At 35.9% G+C, this 26,950-nt stretch overlaps 1 protein-coding gene across 19 annotated transcripts in view, besides 1 other annotated feature; it reads right to left on the bottom strand.

Annotated features, from left to right (window-relative positions):
- The window catches only part of COL24A1 (collagen type XXIV alpha 1 chain), a 427,752-nt gene that overhangs the window by 50,646 nt on the left and 350,156 nt on the right, over positions 1-26,950 (bottom strand). For 17 of the 19 annotated variants that reach the window (NR_146340.2, NR_146341.2, NR_146344.1 and 14 more), the window contains 5 exons: positions 6,476-6,583; positions 4,381-4,488; positions 4,235-4,288; positions 3,618-3,680; positions 1,342-1,395 (listed from right to left, as the gene is read on the bottom strand). Coding sequence is in view for 13 of the 19 variants with exons in the window: in XM_047417004.1 (XP_047272960.1) it covers positions 1,342-1,395; positions 3,618-3,680; positions 4,235-4,288; positions 4,381-4,488; positions 6,476-6,583 (387 nt within the window). In the remaining 6 variants the exon portion in view is untranslated. Of the gene's footprint in view, positions 1-633; positions 771-1,341; positions 1,396-3,617; positions 3,681-4,234; positions 4,289-4,380; positions 4,489-6,475; positions 6,584-26,950 lie in introns of all 19 variants that reach the window. The other 2 variants (NR_146342.2, XM_047417016.1) reach the window with 2 other exon arrangements.
- Positions 2,968-3,137: an enhancer, noted in NCBI's record as "experimental_9389 CRE fragment used in MPRA reporter constructs". NCBI's record gives its function as "activates a minimal promoter by MPRAs in K562 erythroleukemia cells, with activity observed for both the introgressed and non-introgressed 1:86248614 variant alleles {active_cell/tissue: K562}" and the evidence as "EXISTENCE:reporter gene assay evidence [ECO:0000049][PMID:34662402]".

Genomic DNA, 26,950 nt, shown 5'->3' on the forward strand with positions numbered 1-26,950 from the left:
AAATTGAATATGGAAAAATTGATGTACATGCTGAATATTATAAGGGTCTTTAAGAACTATCTATAAACAAAACACAGTAAGATATTTTAATTAAGTAATTTTAAAATTACATTTTCCTTGACCAATTAATACATCATATTTTTGACAGAGGAGAAAAATCATTCTGTAATCAGAACAGTATGTGTCCCTTAGCTTGCTGAAGAACCACTCACTGAAATATGAGAATTCTCCCACTTACAATCTTATATAGCTCCGAGTGGCAAATGTTGAAAGTCTACAGAAATACTGAGTTATACATTTTACTTCTTTTGTTTACATATCCAGTAACTTTGGTGGTTTCTTCTCTAAATTTATCAAAGAGAATAGTGGTACTAAACACTTGAAGCATTCTATTTTTATATTTTTTAATTGTCTGTGTCTATAAATAACTTTCAAATAATTCAAAATATTAATTCCCTAGATAGAATGAATCTTTCCTCTCTAAGTCTCAATTTGACCCTTTCTACTGTGCTCCTTGCTTGTTTATACTATTATCAATATTGGAAAACTTTCCCAACATCACTTGACCAATCATTGTCTCATTTTTATGTTTTATTTCATAGCCAAATTTCTTAAAGCACTGGCATATAATACCTCAATTTCCTCTCCAGACACAGCTTGAATGGAGTGGAAAGAGCGCTGGTCTTGAAGAAACACCAGCTATGTAATCCACGAGGTCTATCACCTTGAATGACTAGATGAACCTCCATAAACCTCATCTGTCTCCTCATCTGTTAAATGAAAATAATATCTACTGCAAAAGTTTGTTGTAAGAATTTAAGGAACATTATTATTAAACATTTTCCCCTACTTCCTTCATCACTGTAACCTGTACTGTATCTTCTACTGCAATTTATTCTCTCAAAGATTACTGTTGACTACTCCTTTCTTGAAACACTTGCTATTCTCTCGAACGATTCTTTCCTTCCTTTATAGTGGGTACTTCCAAAAACTCAAATGTTGGATGTCTGCACATCTTTTGCTATCTATGTTCTTTCCTTCAGAAGAAGAATTTATTTTTATTGCTCAGGAGTTCATCTCTATGTTTATAACACTCTCCCCTTCCTGACTCAGTTCTATTTTCTTTTCTCAACTCCAATTATAAACACTTACCTACTTAGTTACACTGTCTTCATTACACATATGGTCCCTAACTTCTCAGGAATCATTTTCCAGAAGAAAATGTATATCTATTTTTTCCATTTTCTTCTCAAATACCCAGGCTAATTCTTTGTAGAATATTCTAGAAATAGAATTAAAGAAAAAAAAGAGTACAAAAGACTTGTATTATGATAAACTTACAGTTCTACCTGTTGGGCCTATTATACCTTCTCTGCCAAGGGGACCAGTGTTTCCCTGTTGAGGTAAAAGAAAAACAGTCTCACTGTTAGTATAATTAAAAAAAAAAAAACTCCACAGAATCTCTTGTACAATGGTAAAAGAGCCATGTCTACATAATTATCCTTTTTAGTATAAAAGCTTACAGTATTAGCATAAATTACAATAATCTTGGTTAACAGTATGTGACACAATTCTGCATATTATTAAAGTCTCTTATCAGGAGAGTTGCATCTGTATAATTTCTAAAAAACTGATGAATTAGCATTATGATTTTTATGTGGTGATAACTTCAAAGATGCATTTTACATGTATGTTATATAACAAATAAAACTACTTTATATAAAAAAGAATAGAATGATGAACTAGGTTTTGAATAAATTTCTGTGCAGATGTTGAAAAAGTAGATGTTTGGGTAACATGAAGCATGAAATAGAGAAAAAGTACAGTAAGGAACCAGAGAACAGCATATGTGACCAACTAAACTTCAGTTCTTCATCTGTAAAACAGGAATAAGAACATCTACTTCATAGGGCCATTGTGAGAATTAAATATGAAAAGTGCTTTTAAAACTTTAAGCTATTATTTGGTTATGAAGATAACCTTGAATAAGCTGGATTTCTGGTCAATTCCTCCCAAAGTAGGAAGAGAGTCTATAATTTCTCAGTGAATACAAAATGCCCATTTTAGTTTTTTCCTACAAACTTCAGCTTCCGTGGTTCTTCAGAAATCATGAAAATAACTAATATATTTATAGCTGAAGAAATATTCAGAAAGGTCTTTAAACAATTACCATGATAATACTCCTCTTTGCATTATTTTTTGAATTAGTATTGTTTTAACTGAGATGGAGTCTTGCTTCTTGCTGTCGCCCAGGCTGGAGTGCAGTTGTGCCATCTCGGCTCACTGTAACCTTTGCCTCCTGGGTTCAAGTGAGTCTCCTGCTTCAGCCTTCCAAGTAGCTGGGATTACAGGCATGTGCCACCATGCCCAGCTAAATTTAAATATTTTTATTAGAGATGGGGTTTTACCATATTGATCAGGCTAGTCTCAAACTCCTGACCTCAAGCAATCCACCCGCCTTGGCCTCCCAAAGTGCTGGGATTACAGGTGTGAGCCACTGCATCTGGCCCTTTTTGCATTTTTTAAAATTATACTTTAAGTTTTAGGGTACATGTGCACAACGTGCAGGTTAGTTACATAAGTATGATAGACTGGATGAAGAAAATGTGGCACATATACACCATGGAATACTATGCAATAAAAGATGATGAGTTTATGTCCTTTGTAGGGACATGGATGAAGCTGGAAACCATCATTCTCAGCAAACTATTGCAAGGACAAAAAACCTTTTTGCATTATTGACAACAATTTATTGTAAGAGTTAGGAAAGCGGTATAGGATTTTAGAAGTTTGACTTTCATTTAATAGTTATTTAAGATACCTTTATCCTACATCTGCACTGCTTCCCTTTTTCCTCTCTCTGCTCTTTCAACACTTGCCCCTGCAGCTGCTATTAGTCATAGAGATGCTACTACCACAGCCAAACCATTACTTGAAGTTTTAAATTTTTTTTCAGCTTTTTTTCAGTTTTATAGAACATCTCATCAATTAGAAAGCTTTGATTAATAAAAACTAAAAACAAAACAAAAAACTAAAAACAATAATCAGTAAGCACTGGTGGCTTATTTGTCCTATTTATATTCTCTACAATTTGCAATTACAAGCACTCATTGCTAATTGGAGTTCTTCAGACCCTGCTTTTTGCAACTATTTAAGCGGTTCCTCATCACTCTCTTGGGATACCTGCCCCTGAGCTGGGAAAACACAGCTATTGGGAAATATTTTCAGTCTGGTCTGAAGAGCTCTGGTCATACACAAGCTTCTTCCAGGTGGTGCATGGAGGTGGTCTCTGGTTGCATTAATGCTTATAACGTGAAATTGCTGTATGTTTTTGTTCCTGGCGTGAGTTAATACATTATCCAGTCTTCACAGTAATTCTGATGATTCTTTTTTTTTTTTTAAGTAAGACTAGGAAGTACGGGTGGTCTATGAGGTATTTTGCTCAAACTAATATATGAACTGCAAAAGATTGAATTCTGCATGTGCCCTTATGAGTTTCTACCTTAAAAGTCATTTCATTAAGTTATTTACTTGAAGTACATTACATTTAGAGCTCTTAAGCCCTGCAGTAAGCAAAGAACCACAATTTCTGGTAGGCAGAATGACTTTACACTTACTCTGTGTCCAATAGGACCTTTAGGACCTGATATCCCAACAATGCCAGCATCCCCTTCAGGACCCTAGACATACAATAAGAAACAAAAAGATAAAATTTGTAGCTCTATATGAACATTTTACAAAACTATATAAATCTATCAAGAATTGCTCTTTTAAAAATGGAATATAATACTGTTGTGCATGCTGAAGAATTCAGAAGGAAGTGTACTGAGGCCTACAATTTACTTAGAAATACACCAATGAAGGGAGAGAGGGATACGTAGATGGATAAGCACAATAATGCCAGCAGGGTAAAATGTTAATGGTAAAATTTAGGTAATGGGTATAGGCATTTACTGTAAAATTTTCTCAACATTGCTGTATGTTTGAAAATTTTCATAATAAACTGCTTGGGAAAAGGGATGAAAGAAAACAAAATCATATCATATACTAAAATTTCTGGGAAAATGTATAGTTACATAATTTTAAAAACAGATGTATTCGAAACTCAAATATATAAATATGTACCAACTGAAATTTTACAGATTTAAAAAAGCTCAAGTTACAGACTATATTATTTCAACAGCTCTTTTATTTCTAGATAGCTAGAAGACTAGAAGAAAGTATGTAAACATACTTTAGGGCCTGGGAATCCTTGGAAACCTGTCAAACCTTGAACACCATATTCTCCCTGCAAAGTGAATTGACATGATAATAATTATTGTACAATGGCAGCCTGCTCTGTAGAATAAATGCTTGGTGAATTTCTGAGGTGGTACATACAGGCTGCCCTTTCAGGCCAGGGTCTCCACATGGTCCTTGATCACCTTGTGCTCCTCGGTGACCTCTTTTACCTTGAATTCCAGGTTGACCAGGTAGCCCTTGTTCACCCTATGGGTAGAACAAAGAAAAGCGATCTTTACATCAGAACATATAAACATATTGGCTTTTGAATGAAACCCAAATACAGGCCCATCCTTAGGCCCATTCCATAAATACAAGGCACTGGGGAAATCAAATTTTGCATGTTCATCTTGTTCACCAATATTTTCCACACAAGTAGTATTTAATTATAATGTACCAGAAGAGTAGCAGTGGGAAAAGGAAATTCCAGAGATTGTGGTGATGTGTGGAAAGAAGAGGGAAGGGGGAACCTATAAAACTAGTAGGATAGTAAGGCTTGAGAGGGGATAGTGAGGGTGTGGTATGTGTGGGTGTGTTTATATGTGATGGAACTTATATTTTGTTTATTTATTTATTTTATTTTTTATTAGAGATGGGGTCTTGCTCTGTTGCCCAGGCTGTAGTGCAGTGATGTGATCATGGCTTACTGCAGCCTTAAACTCCTGGGCTCAAGCGATCCTCCCAACTCAGTCTCCTGAGTAGCTGGGACTACAGGCACACATCATTGCACCTAGCTAATTCTCTATTTTTTTGTAGAGACAGGATCTCACTATGTTGCCCAGGCTGGTCTTGAACTACTAGCCTCAAGTGATCCTCCTGCATTAGCCTCCCAAAGTGGTAGAATTACAAGTGTGAGCCACTGTGCCTGGCCAGAACTTGTATTTTGAATTGATATCATTTTTCTGTGTTTTCCCTACCATCCAGAGATGATTCAGCTATCTAATACCAGAAAAAGAGTAGTCTCCTGAAGTGTAAACCCTGGTTTTAGCCATGATTATCTTTTTAATTCCATCAATAAAAAATTTCCATTATCTGTCTCCCTAGATTCCTTTGATATGAACTGTCTTTATCCCCTAAAAGTCACTTTAAGTACATACTTAATCAACATTATTGAATTTCTAAAAGTCAAGTCTTTTTTCATTGATTTTTATTTTTGAAATGAGAGTTGAAATATCTTTCACACCATTTCTAAAAGTAAATTTAGGAATCAGGTGGATTTTAGAGATAGGTTAATGAAAAACGATGCTTGGTAGACTTTGGCCAAAGCTTCTTTAAGATTAACAAATTATCTCTCACTGTCTTGAGACAAAGCTATACAATTTTGGGGTTTGACAAATATGGATCTTTCTTATTGCAAATTCAAGCCTAAAACATGGGATCTTTACTTCTTTTCCTGGCTTTAGCATTTGCTTAGCTGCTTTGAATTTTAGCACAAAGGAATATTCATGGTATAAACATTAACAGAAGACTAATATTGTAAACAGTAAACAAGTAGGTCATGATTTTCAGTTTACCCACATGGGTCAGAAATCTGAAAATTCTTTAGAAGTGGAACTGGGAAAATCAGGTTAAGAGGTAATAATGGTAAGGGTGCCAATGTCTTAGTCTTAGGCTTTTATGAAAGAGCTTTAGATGTTGGACTAATTTCTAAGTTGTCTGGGTCAATCCTGTATGAGATATTTCTAAAAGAGGTTTTGTCTGGAAAGTCTATTGACATGTGACAGACTCCACACAATAAATGCAATATAAGACTTAGTTACTGTCACATTAACTCTAAGAAACAGTCTGTACGGTTATCAGATTAATTAATTGGTTGGTTAGGTTCAGAGTCAGAAGAAAAGGAATTGTATTTGAGAAAGTATTTATCTGGAAGTAAATAAGATTTCCCTGTTTTGGAGGAGAAGACAGATGACAGAGAAGGAAAAAGAACAAAAATGAGTCAAAGACATAGCATTTTTTAAAGCATCACTAGTCCTGGGTCAAAGAGTTGTTATGACAAATTACAGGCACTGTGGCTATCATGGGAGATGGATATGTCAAAACTACATACTTTCTCTTTTCCTAACGTGCTTTTACTATTAGCCAAATTCTATTAAAAACTATTAATCTTACCATTCTGTGATCTAGCCAATGAACTCAGGGCCAGAAAGGATGGCCAATACTGCTTACCCATTGGAACAAAATATTAAAGTACCTTTGGGCCTTGAATTCCTGGGCTTCCTGGCAAGCCTGATGAACCCTTTACTCCTGGAGGACCTGGAGCCCCAGCAAGACCTGTTCTTCCTGGGCCGCCTCTGATGCCCTAAATAACACAGATAAGAAATGAAAACTGGGAAAGTTTCTAAAAAGTCAGTTTAGAGGCTCAATAAAATGTAGGAAGAGTTGTGCCCCGAAAGGCGTCTGTTAACATACTGCCCAGGAGTTATCCTGGGCTTCTTTCCCAGAAGATGAAATGTTTAAATACTTTTTTAGGAATACTCACCACTCACTTGAAATTTCTATAATTTATGCAATGATCTTGGGTTTTTAAAATGAAAACACTAAAGCAATACGAAGTCCACCAGTACCTTCTTACTTATAAAGCCTAGGTGTGAAGTATGTTTGTTGTGTTCTAACTTTTGTATTATACTCTGGTGTACATGGCAACTCTAATAACTGCTGAAAGTCTCCTTAAGAAGAAAATTCTATTCCTCAACCATACATGATTCCAGAAAATTTGCTAAAAATTGTTTAACTGGAAATAAAGTTAAGCAAGCAAACAGTATATCCTTAAAACTAAATCCTAAATCAGGTTGGCAAACTACACTTTGCAAACTAAATTCAGTCCATCACCTGTTTTTGTAGATCTCATGAACTAAGAACAGTTTTTACATTTTTAAACATTGAAAAGAATAATACTTAAAGACATGGAAAAATTCTATGAAATTAAAATTTCAGTATGTATTAAGTTTTACTGGACAGTCATGCTCATTCATTTACATATTGTTTAGGGCTGCATTTGCACAACAATAGCAGAGCTGAGTAGTTATGGCAGAGTTTTTTTTTTTTTAATTTCATTTTAAGTTTCCGGGTACATGCGCAGGATGTGCAGGTTTGTTATGTAGGTAAATGTGTGCCATGGTGATTTGCTCCAGCTATCAACCCATCACCTAGGTATTAAGTCCAGCATGCATTAGCTATTTTTCCTAATGCTCTCCCTCTGCCTCTGTCCCACCTCCACCAACAGGCCCCAGTGGGTGTTGTTCCCCTCCCTGTGTCCATGTGTTCACATTGTTCAGCTCCCACTTATAAGACCATGATATGTTTGATTTTCTGTTTCTGCATTAGTTTGCTGAAGATAATGGCTTCCAGCTCCATCTATATCCCTGCAAAGGACATGATCTCATTCCTTTTTATGGCTGCATAGTATTCCATGCTGTATATGTACCACATTTTCTTTATCCAGTCTATCATTGATGGGCATTTGGGTTGATTCCATGCCTTTGCTATTGTGAATGGTGCTGCAATGAACATACGCGTGCATGTATCTTTATGATAGAATGATATATATTGCTTTGGGTATATACCCAGTAATGGGATTACTGGGTAAAATGGTATTTCTGGTATTCCTGGACTTTGGTTCCTTAAGGTCTTCGAGGAATCACCACACTGTCTTCCACAATGGTTGGACTAATTTACATTCCCATCAACAGTGTAAAAGTGTTCCTATTTCTCTGCAGCCCTGCAAGTATCTGTTGTTTCTTGACTTTTTAATAATTGCCATTCTGACCGGTGTGAGATGGTATCTCATCGTGGATTTGATTTGCATTTCTCTAATAATCAATGATGCTGAGCTTTTTTTTGATATGTTTGTTGGCTGCATGAATGTCTTCTTTTGAGAAATGTCTGTTCATGTCCTTTGCCCACTTTTTATTTTTTTAATTTTAATTTTATTTTATTATGTTTTTTGGAGACAGAGTCACGCTCAGTCACCCAGGCTGGAGTGCAGTGGTGCGATCTCGGCTCACTGCAAGCTCCACCTCCTGGGTTCATGCCATTCTCCTGCCTCAGCCTCCTGAGTAGCTGGGACTACAGGCACCTGCCACTACATCCAGCTAATTTTTTTGTATTTTTAACAGAGATGTAGTTTCACCGTGTTAGCCAGAATGGTCTTGATCTCCTGACCTCGTGATCCGCCCATCTCGGCCTCCCAAAGTGCTGGGATTATAGGCGTGAGCCACCGCGCCTGGCCCTTTGCCCACTTTTTAATGAGGTTGTTTTTTTCTTGTAAATTTGCTTAAGCTCCTTGTAGATTCTGGATATTACACATTTGTCAGATGGTTAGATTGCAAAAATTTTCTCCCATTCTGTGGGTTGTCTGTTTGCTCTGATGATAGTTTCTTCTGCTGTGCAGAAGCTCTTTAGTTTAATTAGATCCCATTTGTCAATTTTTGCTTTTGTTGCAATTGCTTTTGATGTTTCATCATGAAGTCTTTGCCCAGCCTAAGTCCTGAATAGTATTGCCTAGATTTTCTTCTAGGGTTTTTATAGTTTTGTGTTTTACATTTGTCTTTAATCCATCATGAGTTAATCTTTGTATAAGGTGTAAGGAAGGAGTCCAGTTTCAATTTTCTGCATATGGCTAGCCAGTTCCCCCAGCACCATTTATTAAAGAGGGAATCCTTTCCACATTGCTTGTTTTTGTCAGGTTTTTCAAAGATCAGATGGTTGTAGGTGTGTGGTCTTATTTCTGAGTTCTCTATTCTGGTCCGTTGGTCTATGTGTCTGTTTTTGTATCAGTACCATGCTGCTTTGGTTACTGTAGCTTTGTAGTATAGTTTGAAGTCAGGCAGAGTGATGCTTCTAGCTTTGTTCTTTTTGCTTCAGATAGTCTTGGCTATACGGGCTCTTTTTTTGCTTCATATGAATTTTAAAAAATAGTTGTTTCTAATTCTGTGAAGAATGTCAATGGTAGTTTTATGGGAATAGTATTGAATCTATAAATTACTTTGGGCAGTATGGTCATTTTCACAATATTAATTCTTCCTATCCACGAGCATGGAATGTTTTTCCATTTGTGTCCTCTCTGATTTCCTTGAGCAGTGTTTTGTAGTACTGCTTGAAGAGGTCCTTTATTTCCCTTGTTAGCTATATTCCTAGGTATTTTATTCTCTTTGTAGCAATTGTGAATGGGAGTTCACTCATGATTTGGTTCTCTGCTTGTCTGCTGTTGGTGTATGGGAATGCTTGTGGTTTCTGAACATTGATTTTGTATCCTGAGACTTTGCTGAAGTTGCTTCTCAGCTTAAGAAGCTTTTGGGCTGAAAAGATGGGGTTTTCTAGATATAGGATCATTCATCTGCAAACAGAGACAATTTGACTTCCTCTCTTCCTATTTGAATACCCTTTCTCTTGCCTGTTTGCCCTGGACAGAACTTCCAATACTATGTTGAATAGGAGTGAGGAGAGGGGGTATCCTTGCCTTGTGCCAGTTTTCAAGGGGAATGCTTCCAGCTTTTGCCCATTCAGTATGATATCAGCTGTGGGTCTGTCATAAAAGGCTCTTATTATTTTGAGGTATGTTCTGTCAATACCTAGTTTATTGAGAGTTTTTAACATGAAGGGATGTTGAATTTTATTGAAGGCCTTTTCTGCATCTACTGAGATAATCATGTGGTTTTTGTCTTTAGTTCTGTTTACGTGATGAATTACATTTATTGATTTGTGTATGTTGAACCAGCCTTGCATCCCGGGGGTGAAGCCAACTTGATCATGGTGGATAAGCTTTTTGATGTACTGCTGGATTTGGTTTGCCAGGATATTATTGAGGATTTTGCATTGATGTTCAGCAGGAATATTGGCCTTAAGTTTTCTTTTTTTGTTATATCTCTAGCAGGTTTTGGTATCAGGATGATGCTGGCCTCATAAAATGAGTTAGGGAGGAGTCTCTTCTTTTCAATTGTTTGAAATCGTTTCAGAAGAAATGGTACCAGCCCCTCTTGGTATACCTCTGGTAGAATTCAGTTACGAATCCATCTAGTTCTGGGTTTATTTTTGGTTGATAGGCTATTTATTACTGCCTCAATTTCAGAACTCATTATTGGTCTATTCAGGGATTCAACTGTTACTGGTTCAGTCTTGGGAGGGTGTATATGTCAATGAATGTATCCATTTCTTCTTGATTGTACAGTTTATTTGCATAGAGGTGTTTATAGTATTCTCTGATGGTTGTTTGTATTTTTTGTGGGGTTAGCGATGATATCTCCTTTATCATTTTTTATTGTGTCTATTTGATTCTTCTATCTTTTCTTCTTTATTAGATAGCTAATGATCTATTTCATTTTTTTTTTTCAAAAGACCAACTCCTGGATTCGTTGATTTTTTGAAGGGATTTTGTGTCTTGGTAGAGATCTTATATGGCACTTCCATTGCTTTGTACTGTTGCTTGGTGTACTACAAATTGCAGTGATGCAGTTATAGTGTTTCAAGTGGAACATATATTACTGTGACACTTTATTTTACGTATTACCAGTGCACATGCTATCATATCAAAGCAAGAAAAGAAAAGTGGACTTCGAATATTGTATTTTTAGGCACCATGGAAAATGAATTTTCTTATTGAATTAGATGGCAAAGCCTTGTATTTACTATGTAATATTACTATAGCTATGCTTAAAAATTATACAGTATATATCAACATTATCAGACTAGGCACATAATATAATATTTCTACCTCACAGGAATGCAACAGTCAGAAAAATTGGAAAATGTAACATGGAGTATTTTATCACAGCAGAATTTCTTCACAACAAAATGAAAATGAGGCTGCAACTGAAGTAAGTTTCTGAGTGTTCACTTCATTTGTTAGCCCAATAAGGAAAATCCCTTATTGATGACTTAATTAAATCACATAGCAAAAATACACTTATTTAAGATTGTTAGCTTTTTGGCAAGAATAGCTGCTTGAAATGTTGAGGACACTGGTACAGCATCAACAATCAATTAAAAAAGAAGGTTCTTTCTTTTTTTCTTCTCTCCCTACCAGCACGGCCTGTTGGTTCTTGATGAGTCAATAGAAATTAGCAATACTGCTCAGTTGCTCATTCAAGGAGTCAATGCTGAGTATGGGAAGGAGTCAATGCTGAGATGGAAGAATTGTATAAATAGTCTGTGGGGTAACTGCAAGTGAGAATATTTTCAAAGAAGTTTAAAAAAAACACTAAATCAGTACAATCTTCTGTGGATTCTGCTAAGATACAATACAACTGACAGCTATGGATCAAAAAAAGAATTATTGGATAAATTTGGAAAGCATATGGTGGGTAGATTTTCTGAACTCAAACAGTTTCAGTAGCATATCTTAGACCTAGATGCAATAAATTTCCATATTTCAAAATCGATTTGACTGTGCACTTGAGGAGTTTCCACCTAGCTTACAATTGGAAATGATTAATCTACAAGGAAATGACATGCTAAAAGGCAAAATCAAGAGAACCTAATAGAATTCTGGATATTGTTTTCAAGCAATCAGTATATTCAATGAAAATCATACGCTCATGAATTGCAGCATTTGGCAGTACCTATCTGTGTGAAAAAAATTTTCAAAGATGAAATATGTGAAATATGCAAAGTCTCATTACAGGCCAATATTAACAGCATTAACAAGTGCAGAAAATTCTTACAATAGGGAACTGTAATAAGATCACTTTACAGGAAAGGCAAGCTTTAAAAACAAAATTCTTATGTATAGCACCCTCCCCAATAAAACAGAAACAGCTGAAAACCTAAAGAAACCCACAGAGAAAGCAGATTTTAATAAGCTAAGTGTTATCCTATACAAAGCATGACATTTTTCTCATTACTAGTCTTGCATTACAAAATTTTTACTTAATTATATTTTTAATTTCATGAATAAACATTTTGTGAACAGTTTCTCTCTTCTTACATAAGTTCACAAGTAATACCCTTGAGTTTGCTTCCTGCAAATACTAAAATTTATTCATATTTATATGAATATTTACAGAAATATGTTTTCATATTTACAGAAAAAGTTTGTTGACTTCTCTTCTAGGAATAACTTATTTTCTGAGTTGATTCCTAGGATATTAAATTGGGTTATTCAATAGTTTCTCCATGTATTCAACAAATATTTATTGAATATCATCTATGCATAAGGAAGCTACCATGGGAATCCCTTTAAAAATATAGATATAAATAATATATGGTTCTTGTTTTTAAGAAGCTTAAAATTAAATGAAAAAGATGAGACCAGGTGTGGTGGCTCATCCCTGTAACCCCAGCACTTTGGTAGAGGCTAAGGTGGGAGGATTACTTGAGCCCAGGAGTTTGAGACCAGTCTGGGTGACACAGTGAAACCCCATCTCTAAAAAAAAAAAAAAAAAGAAAGGAAAAAAGTAGTTACCAGGGCATGGTATTGTGAGCATCTGTAGCCTTAGCTGCTTGGGAAGCTGAGGTGAGAGAATCGCTTGAGCCCAAGAGTTCAAAGATGCAGTGAGCCATGATCATGCCACTGCACTCTAGCCTGGGCAACAGAGTGAGACCCTGTCTCAAAAATAAACAAATAAATTAATAAGAAAAAGAAAAACAAAAAACGAAATGTGATGGAATGTACTATATAAATAATTATAATGACAGCAAAAGTTTTAAAAAAATTCCTAAGAAGAGAGATGTAATGTAAATACCTGAGAGGTTCTGAGGAGGGGAAGTTACCTTTAGTGGTAATCAGAAAAGAAATTAGTGAGAAGAAACTGGATCATGATCATAATATAAAGATATTGCCCTTAAAGTTATAAATGTGGTGGGAGAGATGTTTTGGCTCAAGACAGACTAAAGCCATTTCTGTGGAAGGTCTGGTTGAGAGAATGGTATTTAAAAAGTAAAGTCAATTTTGAATTTAGTACCAAAGCATTTTTTCCTTTTTTTTCAAATAACATTTTCTTCATATTATGTCATCACATATTTTATTATTTTCTTGCTTATGGTAAAAGATAATTAAGTATATTTTTAAAAATTATCCTTTCTAAGTAGATTTTCCTCACATTCCAAAACTCACTAAAATAATGTATTTTGTATCTAAGGTTCATCTCCAATCCTGGGTGCTTACAGGGAGGTACATATAGGATATAGGTTCATGTTCCTCAGCTTGACCTTTAAGTCTTTTTTTGTCCCAACTATCTCTCACCATTTATCTGCGTTAGTGGGGCTCAATATTTTAAGGAACAAATTACAAGGGCAAAATCCTCACAGAAGGAGAAATAGAGGAAGAGAGAGGAAAAGAAAAAGGGAGAAAGAGAAGGAAAGAGAGAGAGAGAGAAGAGGAGGGAAGGAAAGAGAGGGGAGAGAGAGAGCGAGAGCGAGAGATCCATGCTGTGGACTTAGGATTCAGGTGATGTAGTTCTTCCAAGTTGCTTGTGCCTCATCCTAAGTGTATTATCTTATCCTGTTTCTTTCCCCTGGTTTCTATGTGTTTTATATTTGTTTTAATTTTCCATGAGCCTTTCTGTTCCATACCTATGGGATACATTATCTGGTAGTGTACTTTGCACATGAATGATGAGAACCCTGGAGTCATGAGATGGTGCCATTTTAGAGATCATCAATACAAATGATAGTCATCTGAGACTTTGGGATTTAAATTTTCAAAAATGTTCAGAAAAGACATAGGTGTTATACCAATGACCAGGTCTCTAATGGGGATATGACTTAACAGGAAAGGCAAATTTTAAAAACAAAATTCTGATGAATAGCACCCTCCCTAATAAAAACAAAAATAGTATAAAGACCTAAAGAAACCCGAAGAGAGAGCAGATTTTAAAAAGTCATATATACAAGATGAAAGAAAGGGCATGTAAGCAGCAAAAAAAATAAAGTAAAAAACAAAGTAACTTCAGAGTTAAACCAACTGAAAAGTTAAGTTATAGATGTAGATCGTGTGAGAATTTTTTTAAAAAGCATTAGGTTGTCTTGCAAGTTTGTGAGCCTCTTATCTCCAGATATTTTATAGAGGTAATGGATATTTTAGGGAGACGCATCATTAGAACTGATTATCCTAGATGATTTTAAGATACCTCAAAATTGCATAATTCTAAAATAGAACCATTTTGCCTCACTTTACTTATAATTCTAGGCAATTTTAAAGTTCTTCATTTTCTAATATAAAAAATGTATCTTTCAGGTGATACATGACAATGGACATTCAGAAACTACTGACCACTCTTGAAGTCAAGATGTACTTTTGACTGAGAATAATAAGGAGCACAAAACTTGTCATTAGGGTTAACTGTAAACTAGCAACTTCATTTTACTTGCAGTGCCATCAGATATTTAACCCAGTAGAATGAATATAGTCCAAGTCATTTACTATGCTTGTTGGTTTCTTAGAGAGAAATTTGAGGATGATAGCAGAGTGTTCTGTTCAACGTTCCAAACAATGTTTCATACAAGTAAAGAACAAACATTTCTTATTACACAGATGGCTGATTAATTTTGTTTGCAAGAGAAACAGATGCTAACCCTAGGCATTCTTTCCAGTGTCTTCTAAATGATTTGTCTAAAACAATTCAGCCTATGTTAAATCATTCTGGGTAAATTTTAAAAAGTAAATATAATTATAATTATTATTAACTTTGGTCAGAGATGCCAAAAATCAATGAACAGCTTACATGTGTATTAAAAATTAATATAATTATAAGAGTACATGGTGTCGCATGACCAGAGACTTCCTTTATTCTCAGATAGGAGCCAGTCTCCCTACCGAAATAAGTTTTAAACCTAGCAGGAAAGTGTTGTCAGTTTTGACAGGACTGAAACCCATGGCTTCCTAAGCCTTTGGACTCTAAAGAAACAAGTACTTCGATCAGTAATGACAACAACAACATCAACCACAACTGCAAGAGTTGCTTTTTATTGAGTGCATTCCATTTGTCAGAAATGAATAGCATTATGGTTTGTATTATTTTATTTGATCTGGTGTCAGTTAAGGAAAGAAGGCATTGCTTTTCACTTTGACTTCCCTCTGGGAAAAGGAAGAAATTGTTTTAGTGCAAGTCTGCCTTCATTTTAGAACTGAATGGAAAGATCTGGGAAGGAAAATGGTGCTATATGCACACATTTAGAAAAAAGATACAGAGACAAATTTTGGAATGATGATTACTTATTTGTACATAATAGTGAAACATACCAAAGAAAGTGTCACTCTGTTATTCCCCCAGCTCCTTGGCTTAGCCGTCATATTCTCATTAGGATTGAAACAAATATATTAAAAAATAAGCAATAAAAAATAAAATTTGTTAAATCCAGGCAACGATAAAAATCTACATTCTAAAAATAGCTAAAAATATTATATTTAAAGTTATGCTGAGTGAAATTACAAATATTTCGAATATCAATTTTATTGATTTCTCATAGTAGAATGACAAAATGACACTGAACTTCATATTGGTTGATATTTTTCTTTAAAGTACTACCTTAACATTTTTCTAAAAAAAGTTTTTTCCTTTCTCTTCTGCCAGGCACCTTATGTGTACAGAGCATTATGTTTATATAGTTATTAACTATGTGAGAAGATAATAAGAAAAATTAATTTAAAATTAATTTACTTTCTGTAGTACAAATATAATATCCTAGATTATTAGGCAATGTAAGTACTATTTTTTTTCTTAAGCCAGCAAACCCAGAAGTTATATAAATAATACTTTACTTCCTTTAGTCTGAGCAACTCAAAACACTTCTGTTTAAGTAGGAATTTCTCGTTTTATTTGGTTTACTAAATATATCCCTTCCTGCAAAGGATTGGTGTTTAAAAATATGTGGGATGGTAATTATTAGGTGATTATATGCAAGGCTACATTTTACATAAATAATGTAGCATTCATAATATTTTCCTGCCGTGCCAATCATAAGTAATGTAGCCAATTGCTAGAAATAAGATTTATGAATGAGCTATATACTAAAGTTAGGAGGTAATTTTAGTTTTGAATTTCTAAACATATTAAAGCTTATGGAACTGAGAGTACAGCTGAGGCAGGTCGTAAGGTAGTGAAGACAGGTCTGTTTGACTCACATCAAGGGTATACAATCTCTTGCTCAACCTTAATGAATACAGGTATTTCAACATTGTTTTACTTCACAGAAATTATTTACAACTGATGTTTTATCAATCCTAAAAAATAGTGCAAATGTCACTATGATATTTGACAAAATAAAGGTATTTTATGAAATCTCCTTTACCCAGGTCTTGACATCCAATCACAGGACTAACAGGGACTGAAAGAAGATGTTTCATCTATACTTTGACTCTTAGATATGTCTGGGTTCACATCATTATAGAGAAATAAATGTCTATCCTTTTATTCAAAAAATTACAAATAATCTACTCATACTATCTTATTTGATTCTCCCACAACCCTGTGAACACACCAAACTCCATGAGGGCAGTTTTTTGACCATGATTAACTGCTATATTCCCTAACTCCTGGCTCTTAGTAGGCACGAAACAAATTATTTTTTGAATGAATGCATGTAAGCTTAACCATTTATATTTATTATTATGAAAAGATGATACCCAATAAATACATGCAGTGTACTATGCATTTTACATACAATATTTCATTTGATTCTTATAAAAACCATATGGATTAAGTATAATACTATTGTACTCATTTTATAAATGCTGCTTAAGATGTCAAATACCTATCGCATCTAGATTTTAAACCCAGGTCTCCAAGATCCTAACAACTATGCAAAGAACATTCAATTCCTGGCCGGGCACGGTGGCTCACGCCTGTAATCCCAGCACTTTGGGAGGCTGAGGCGGGTGGATCATGAGGTCAGGAGATCGAGACCATCCTGGGTAACATGGTGAAACCCCGTCTCTACCAAAAATACAAAAAAAAAAAAATTAGCCAGGCATGGTGGTGGGCGCCTGTAGTCCCAGCTACTCGGGAGGCTGACGCAGGAGAATGGCGTGAATCTGGGAGGTGGAGGTTGCAGCGAGCTGAGATCGCAACTACTGCACTCCGGCCTGGGCGACAGAGCGAGACTCCGTCTCAAAAAAAAAAAAAAAAAAAAAAAGAACATTCAATTCCCAAATGTTTATTGATCTTCTCCTATGGGCCTGACATGGTGCTAGGTGATTCTACAGGACTCTTTGGAGAGAAAGAAAGACAACATCCATGCTCTGATGGAGGCAGTGTACTGAGCATCCAAAAGTTCAGAGCAGACAAGCTCAACTCCGACTAGAAAGGTGAGTGAAGGAGGTAATAGTTCAGTTAAGTCCTAAAAGATCACCATAAAGTTAGAGGGAAAAATGGAAGAGCTTTCTAAGCAGTGGAAATAAAGTACACAAAGGCCAGAAAGTGGGGGAAATAATAGAATTTTGGGGGCTAAGTAAATAGGCATACTTGAAGAAGCATAGCTCTGAAACTAAGATGCCTGGTTTGAATTCTGATTGGATTACTTGTTGTCTGTGTGAACCTGCGGAAGTTATTTAGTCTCTCTCGGTCTCAGCTTCCTTTTCTGTAAACTGGATATAACAGCTGTCTCTACTTCATGGAGGTTTTGTGAGGGTTAAATCACTTAATACACATCAGCACCTGGAACAGTGCCTGGGATACAGTAAGCGTTTAATAACTGTTAGCTGTGATTATGACTGAAATGCACAGCACACATCAGAAGCAAGGTAGAATATATGTCTGGAAATGTCAACAGAGGCTAGACCACGAAGAAACATCATTCCATAAAAAGTATAAACCAGCCGAGCATGGTGGCTCATGCCTGCAATCCCAGCACTTTGGGAGGCCGAGGTGGGATAACTGCTTGAGCTCAGGAGTTCAAGGCTAGCCTAGGCAAGATGGTGAGATCTCATCTCTACAAAAATAAAAAACAATAAATTACGGAATGTGGTGGTGCATGCCTGTAGTCCCAGTTACTTGTGAATCTGAGGTAGGAGGATCACTTGAGCCTAGGTGTTCAAGGCTGCAGTGAGCTAAGATCACACCACTGTACTCCAGCCTGGGTGACAGAGAGGGACCCTGTCTCTATTAAAAAAAAAAAAAAAGTATGAACTTTATCTGATCAGGAGTCATGGAAAATTCAACTAAGAAAGTTAAATCCTTTAGCAGATATTTCGTTTTGTTGCCAATACGCTGCCAAATACACTGAACTTTGTTGCTCTGGAAGAGTTCCTAATGAGTAGAAAATGGGCCAAAACAAGCGGCGGGGTTGGGGGTCGGAGGGAGGGAAGAAGTACCAATCAGGATAAGCCATAACTGAATAATCAACCTCTTAATAATGAGATGACAGGATTTGCTAAATGTAGGTCTGGACAAAGAATGTAGGTCTCTTTCTCCAAAATACTGTGAAGAAAAAAGTGTATCTTCTTAGAAAGAAAAGTTTCTTTCGTGTGACTAGCCTATGAGAACACACAGCCCAGATGGGTGGCAGGGTAGCTGGATTTCCTAATAGAAGCTTCGATGGTGGTCCTACTACAAAGGTGCTGATGAAGTGTGTTTTTCTTCCTTATACTGGACACAATCCACAAATGGAAAATTCAGGATTTTCAATGTTCCTTTAAGACAAGAAACTCATTTTAGACAACACTTATGCTTGTGTTCACCTGGAAAACTGCAAAGTCAAGATTGAAAGGCCTTGATTTGTCCTTAGTCAAGTCGTTAGTTTTATTTCTTTCCCTCTTTTCCAATGACCAGTTTTATTAGTTACAGCAATAAAAAAATAAAAAGACTGGTAAGCATTCCTTTTGGTGATAAATGGATTTATGATATTTGCAAGGAAAAGTTGTTTTGCTTTTTCCTAAATGACTGAGGTACTATGCTTGTACAGAAGTTGAACTCGATGAAAACATCATGGTAGACTCATTTACTACAGATGTGCTAAGTTGACTGGCCTCAAAACACTCATTTTCACAGAAGGAAATTCACACAGGCAACGGTGAGCCTCCCCTGTACTGTCCCTCAGTTACAGTCACATGATCTTGAAAAAACATTGAAACTGCAGAGTGAATATGCCAAGAATTCTTTAATTCCTTGGCCACATAAAAGAAAGAAAGAAAGAAAGAAAGAAAGAAAGAAAGAAAAGAAAAGAACATTGTTTAGGAAAATCAGGCAGTTGCATAATGCTAAAAATCCCAGAATAAATATTTTTCTCAGTGGAAAAACCCAGCAGTCTTTAAAGGTAAGCCAAGGAACACCATGGTGCCATGACTAAAAAAAAAAAAAAAAAAAAAAAAAAACCAATGGAAAGATGTCCTTATCCTCGGTTGAAAATATTCCAAGGAACTTGCTAGTATTTAGAAATGGTCTTATTTCCTCTTAAGTAGTTTTTCTATTACCACAGTAGGTTTGAGAAATACTTCTCTTAGAAATCACTTTCCCTAATGCCCAGTTAGCCATTACTACCTTGTTTCACTGAACAACAGAATGATTCCTTATAAAGCACTATAATTCTAATTCCATATCAAATATTCCACAGAGAGCAGAGACATTTATAGAAAAGATTTCCATGTACATAAATACCAACTGCATGTGCAAACCTTGGGGTTACAAAGGGATCCTCAAGAGAAAATTATTTTATTTTTATTTTGATGGATACAAAACATTTCAACACATGACATCCTAATATTCTAAGTATGCATGTAAAATTTGTCTAACTTGTTCTGTGAAAATGCTAAAAAGTAGCAGATGATGACTTATGATCTGGTAGTTAATTGCTTGCTAACGGCAACATTAGTTACCATTCAACTTCATGGCCCTAGGAGGTATGTTGCAACAGTATTTAACATTACTGTAATCCATTTGTTTCTTTCAAAGTGCAATGAGCTTTCTGTACCAGTCGTACATAAAGGGACAGAATCTGTTCTATGGCTCAGAATCTGTTTTTATAAACAATGGTTCCCAATTAGAGTAACTTAGGAAGAGGAGCTAGAATATGCAGGTTTTGTTGTCTAATTCATACTCAGATTTTCCCTTCCCTTGACTGTCTTCAACCTCTCCATATTTACTAGGTCCTTCTGATGAGCATTTAAATGTCAGGATTCTCACATTTAAAAATAACTTTCTACTTTAAATTTATTCTCTGGTCATTGCCCTATTTTCTCCTTCAGAACCAAATGTCTCCATTGAGTGGTTTGAATATCCTGATTTTCTCACTGTCCACTCTCTCTCCTCAGGAACGTCAATCCTATTCCTGCCCCCAACCTGACAAGATTCTTTGCTAAAGTTACTGATGACCTCCACTTACTAAAATACATGAACATAATTTCATTTTATTAGATCTGCATATTAGTCAGAGTTCTTACTTGCAAATACCAGAAACTAATACTGGATAATAAAGGCAGAACAGACATTGAAAACACATTTGGTAGCTCATATAATCACAGATAAACCTGGAGAATCAGGTTTGGAAAATGAGCAGAATTAAAGTGATGTCAGGAAGCCAGAATTTGAACACTACAGCGTGTACTACATCTGCTGTTGGACATTGAACACTATTACTGATGCAACCGTCATCCCTGGAAACTGGGAGCTGTTGATGTTACTGCCACTGCCACCACAACAGACTCTCCACTGTCCCCGCCTCTGTGTATCACTAAATCCCCATTTGAAGATGAATATAACTAATTGATCAGGCCTAGGTCAGAGCATGCATCCTTGTTTCAAGTGACAAGGAAGTAAAAGTTTGGAACTTCTGGCTACTGCAGTAAAAGCTGGCCTTTCACCAAAACTCAAAAAGAGGGATTTTTAAATTAAAAAAATGGGATAAAGATGCTGAGTAGCAAAACAAACACAAAATGCATCTACAACATCAACACAAAAACCCCACAAAAAACAAAATTAATAAAACAAGTGTCCAACACAGTTTCTCGAGATTATTAGATATGTTGATGAGGTTCTCCTTTTTGAAATATTCTTTCTTAAGTCTCCATGACACCACATTCATTTTTTTCTTACCTATTATAATCACTCCTTTCAGTCTTTTTCCTCCTGTATCTGACTGTTAAATGTTAGAGTTCCTCACAGCTTGGTTCTGGACCTCCTTCCCACTGTTCAACAAAATTTGTGTTTGTTTTCTTTCATTTGCTCCCCAGATCCATTTACCACCCCTTCTCTATCTTGCAACTTGTCCTGCGAATCTGACTTTCAATGCACTGCATCGCTGGGGTTCTCTTGACCTCTGGCTTCCAGTTGGGGTTGGCCAGTGTGATGCACCACTAGGATATTGAAAAGTGAGAGGAGAGAAAGGTAATATATTTATTTCTCCCATTTCCTTCTGTCTTTGGCATTCCATAAGTGGTTGGGTTATTCTCAACTATAGCTCCTGTCAGATGCCTCTTTCCAGCAGTTCCTGATCTCAACTTGATTCTAGTAACATCATTTCTTCCCTTTACCATTTCAGGTCTAAGGACAGTAATGGCTTCCTACTGTTGACAGTCTCTGGGTTTCCCAGCACTCTTTGTTGACTTTTTTAACCCTTTCTACATTTCTGTAGGTAGTTTCCTCAAAATTCCAATTGAGCATTCCATCTGCTTCCTAACAGGACTCTGACTAAAGCATGCATGTGCTGATGACTCACAAATTCATATTTGACCTCCTCTCTCAGCTCTAGCTGAGGATATTTAATTGCTAACTTAATATCTCCACTTGAATGTCATAATCTTGCTCACAAAATTTAGGCCTCCTATAATATTTGCTTTTTCAGTGACGGGCAGACATCACAAGGTATTAAGTTGGAAACTTGTGCAAGTTAGAAATTTGGAAGTTACCCTTGATATCTCTCTCTCTCCCTCATGTCTCCCAATCAAATATCAAGTCCTACTAAAGCCACCTCCTAAATAGTACCTAAATCCATCCACTTCTTTCCATTTACACTTCACCAGTCTAGTTCAAACCGTGAACACCTATAGCCTGGAGTACTGCAAAAGTAGTCTTATTAGTCTTCTGCATCTTGTCTTGTCCCCTTCCAATCCATTTACTATACTGAAGCCAGAGGGAATCCATTAAAAATGTAAAATTGAATTGGATAATGTCTCTCCTGAGCTTAAACCTCAATGAGGTCTACTCTCTTTAGATAATGCTCAATTACCTTAATACGTCCTTCAATAGCCTCCATGATGTGGTCATTGTATACCTCAACAGCATCAAACCATATCACTCTACACCTTGCTCACCAAACTTTAGCCGTACTGGTCTTTTTTTGATTCTTTAAGCACATCCAGTTCTTCCTAACTTTGCATATGCTGTGGTCTCTGCCTAGAATGTTTCTTTCCTGCTTTCTCCACCTATAATTATTATTATTCCCAATTTACAAACTCCAGTTATCTTTTGGTATCATCTCTCTCCTCCTCCCCACTCATATAATATATGAATTTATATATGTAGATAAGATATTTATCTCTATATACCTATTTCACTGAGTATAATTGACACGAAGTAAATTTCAAAGTATATAATTTGATAAACTGGCATAATAAATATACCTATTAAACCATCACCACTATCAAGATAACATATCCACTACCCCTAGAAGTTTTTCCTATTCCTTTGTAAACCCTCCTTTCCACACCTCCCCACATGCACTTCTATCTCCTGAAAACCCGATTAGCTTTTTATCATTACAGATTATTTTGAAATCTCTACAATTTTATACAAGTGGAACCAAACAGCATGTATCTTTTTGTCTGTTTTTTTCCCCACTTTGAGATTCATTCATGTTGAAGCATGTATATAATTCTTTTTCACTGAGACTAATATTTCATTGTATACATGTACTAGAATTTATTTAGCCATTCACTTTTTGATGGACATTTGGTTCATTCCTAGTTTTGGGCTATTACAAAGAAAGCTGCTATGGCCATTCATGTGCAAGTTTTTGTGTGGATATATGCTTTCATTTCTCTTGGCTAGGAATAGAATGGCTGGGTTATATGTTAGAAATATGTTAAACATTTTTAGATACTACCAATATATAAGATAATTGACATCTTAACAATATAGAGGCTGGGTGCAGTGGCTCATGCCTGTAATCCCAGCACTTTGGGAGGCTGAGATGGGTGGATCACCAGGTCAGGAGTTTGACACCATTGTGAAACCCCATCTCTACTAAAAATTTTAGTTAGATATGGTGGCATGCACCTGTAATCCCAGCTACTCAGGAAGCTGAGGCAGGAGAATCACTTGAACTCGGGAGGTGGAGGTTGCAGTGAGCTGAGATCATGACACTGCACTCCAGCCTAGGTGACAGAGCAAGACTCCATCTCAAAAAAAAAAAAAAAACCATAAACAAACAAAACAAAACAAAACAAAAACAACAATATAGAGTCTTATGATCCAGAGACATAGTATATATACCATGTATTTAGGACTTCTGTAATTTCCCTCAGCAATGTTTTATAGTTTTCAGGATATAGGTTTGCACTTTTTTTTTTTGGTGAGAATTATCCCTAATATTTCACATTCTGATACTACTGAAATAATACTGCTTTAAAATTTTCCATTTCTGATTGTTAATTGCTAGTACATAGAAATACAATTAATTTTGTATATTAATCTTGCAACTTTGCTAAACTCAGTTTTCCGTAGATTTTGGATATTCTACTAGACAATCATGATTTCTGCAAATAAAGACAGTTTTACTTCTTCTATTCCAATCTAGACATCTTTTATTTCTTGTTATTACACTGGCTAGAACCTCATTGAATTGGCTACAACCTCATTGAATTGACTAGAATTTCCAGTACAATATTGAATATGTCATATAAATATGAGAAGGTAATACATATATCTGTGGGCATATAAGACATCAGAATGTTTGCCTCACAAAGACCTACATTAAAAATAATTTTTGGAGAAAGCATTGAAATAATAATAGAAAAAATTCAGGAGATTCTGCAAAGAATATTGAAAGTATTGGTTATCAAATAGCTTAATTAAGTTTACTATTTAAAAAGGAGTCTAGAAATAACAGAAATAAAAGGAGAAAGTAAATGAATAAAGACTAAAAGTGAAAAATTGAGGCAAAATACAAAAATGATGAAGGAGAGGAGTGGTCTATAAAAACAAAGGGATATGAGAATATGTGAAAGTGTTTTGTTAGAGGGAAGATACAGGTAGTGATACGTTCAACAAATCAATAGATTTAAATAAATACACACTTGGTTATTATGTTCAGCAGAACTGCACAAGAGGAACAACAAAAGAAGTAATTTTTAAGCCAGCAGAAGAAACTTTAGTCATCCAATGGAAATGAGGAAAGAAGGAGAAATAAACCCCAAAAGGATAGTACAGGTGCATTAGTCCATTTTCACGCTGCTGATAAACACACCTGAGACTGGGCAATTTACAAAAGAAAGAGGTTTATTACAGTTCCACATGGCTGGGGAGGCCTCACAATTATGGTGGAAGGCAAGGAGGAGCAAGTCACACCTTGCATGGATGGCAGCAGGCAAAAAGAGAGCTTGTGCAGGGCAACTCCCGTTTTTAAAGCCATCAGATCTCATGAGACCCATTCACTATCACGAGAACAGCATGAGAAAGACCCACTCCCACAATTCAGTCATCTCCCACCAGGTCCCTCCAACAACATGTGGGAATTATGGAAGCTACAAGATGAGATTTGGGTGGGAACACAGAGCCAAACCATATCAACAGGGCAAAGGAAATACAGATTTCAGATGGCAAATACTCTTTTTTTTTTTTTTAGGATTTTGTTTTGTCACCCAGTCTGGAGTGCAGTGGCATGATGATACTTCACTGTAGCCTCTAACTCCTCATATCAAGCAATCCTACTTCTTCAATCTCTTGAGTAGCTATAGGCACATGCTACAACACCCAGACAATTTTTAAATTTTCTGTAGAGACAGGGTCTTGCTATATCGCCCAGGTTGGTGTTGAAGTCCTGGCCTCAAGAGGTCCTCTTGCCTTGGTCTCCCAAAGAGCTGGGGATTACAGGCATGAGCCACTGCACCTGGGTGGCAAATATTCTTAATGAAGAAATTTTAGATGTATTCCCTGTAACATCTGGAGCAGTAGAAGAATTTCTACGATTGCTGCTATTGTTTAAAATAATATTCAAGGTCACTTGCATGGAAAGTGAAATGGAAAGAAAGAAATACATGGAAAGAAAAATAAATGAATCTAAGGAAAGAGATAATGTAAGGAAGGAAATAAATCTGCCATTATTTGAAGATGATATTATCTACCTAAAAGCCCAATAGAATCACAACAGCAAATTATTTGAAATAAAAAATTCAGCCATATTAGACTATAACTGATACAAATCAGTAGTGCTTCTTTAAATCAGTAATAACTACCTAGTAAATAGAATAAAAATAAGAATATAAAAAGCCTTTACTGAGTGGCAATATTGCAGATTTATAAAGACAAAAAATATGGAGTTTTAGACTGCCTTTGTCGTTATGTGACTGTAGAAATTACTTAATTTCTCAGTGCCTCAATTTCTGCATCTACAAAATAAGAAATATAATTATGCCTACCTCATGGGGTTGTAAGGATTAAATTTGTTAATACATTAAAACACTTATGGTACGTGGGCAAGTTCTAAGCATTGTATGAATTTTGCCATGACTATTATGAAGAAATTCTATTAGAAAATGATAGAAATAGGCCGGGCGCGGTGGCTCACGCCTGTAATCCCAGCACTTTGGGAGGCCGAGGTGGGCGGATCACGAGGTCAGGAGATCGAGACCATCCTGGCGAACATAGTGAAACCCCGTCTCTATTAAAAATACAAAAAAATTAGCTGAGCGTGGTGGCGGGCACCTGTAGTCCCAGCTACTCTGGAGGCTGGAGCAGGAGAATGGCATGAACCAAGGGGGCGGAGCTTGCAGTGAGCGGAGATCGCGCCACTGCACTCCAGGTTGGGCGACAGAGCGAGACTCCGTCTCAAAAAAAAAAAAAAAAAAGAAAATGATAGAAATATATATTTCCTCCTTTTATATTAAATAACTAAAATGATAAGATACAAATTTTCTCCAACTAAATCTATAAATTCAAGACAAATCTAATAACAATTCAACCTTTGTTTTATTTTTAGAGAAACTCAACAAACTGAATCTCAAATTATGTGGAGGAATAAAAGTCTGTAACTAGCTAATCAACCTTAAGAAAAGAATTTAAATAAGGGAGACTTGCCCACTACATATAAGAACATACTACAGAGCCATAGTAATAAGAATAATGTGATGATACAAATAGACCAGAGGTCAGCCAATGTTTTCTGTAAAAGGGCCAGACAGTAACTCTGTTAGACTTTGCAGGCCATATGGTCTCTGTGTGAATTATTCAGTTCTGCTGTTGTAGTGCAAAAGCAGCCATATGTAAATAAATTACTGTGGCTGTGTTCCAATAAATTAATTTATGAATACCAAAATTCAAATTTCATATGTTTTTCACAAAACATTCTTCTTATTTCTACTTTCTACCACTAAAAAAATGTAAAAACCATTTTTAGCTCATGGGCCATACAAAAACAGGCTGATTTGTTCACCAAATGTGGTTTGCTAATACTGGAATGGACTGCTGATATTGACTCATGCATAAATGAGAACTGTTAAACAAGTTGGCTGGATTTTATCTGTTTGCCTTTTGAGATCCAGTCTCCACCCTGCTCTACGACCCAGCAGGCTCCTTTACTCTAG

Source organism: Homo sapiens, chromosome 1, assembly GCF_000001405.40.
Source record: "Homo sapiens chromosome 1, GRCh38.p14 Primary Assembly".
NCBI classification, from domain to species: Eukaryota; Metazoa; Chordata; class Mammalia; order Primates; family Hominidae; genus Homo; species Homo sapiens.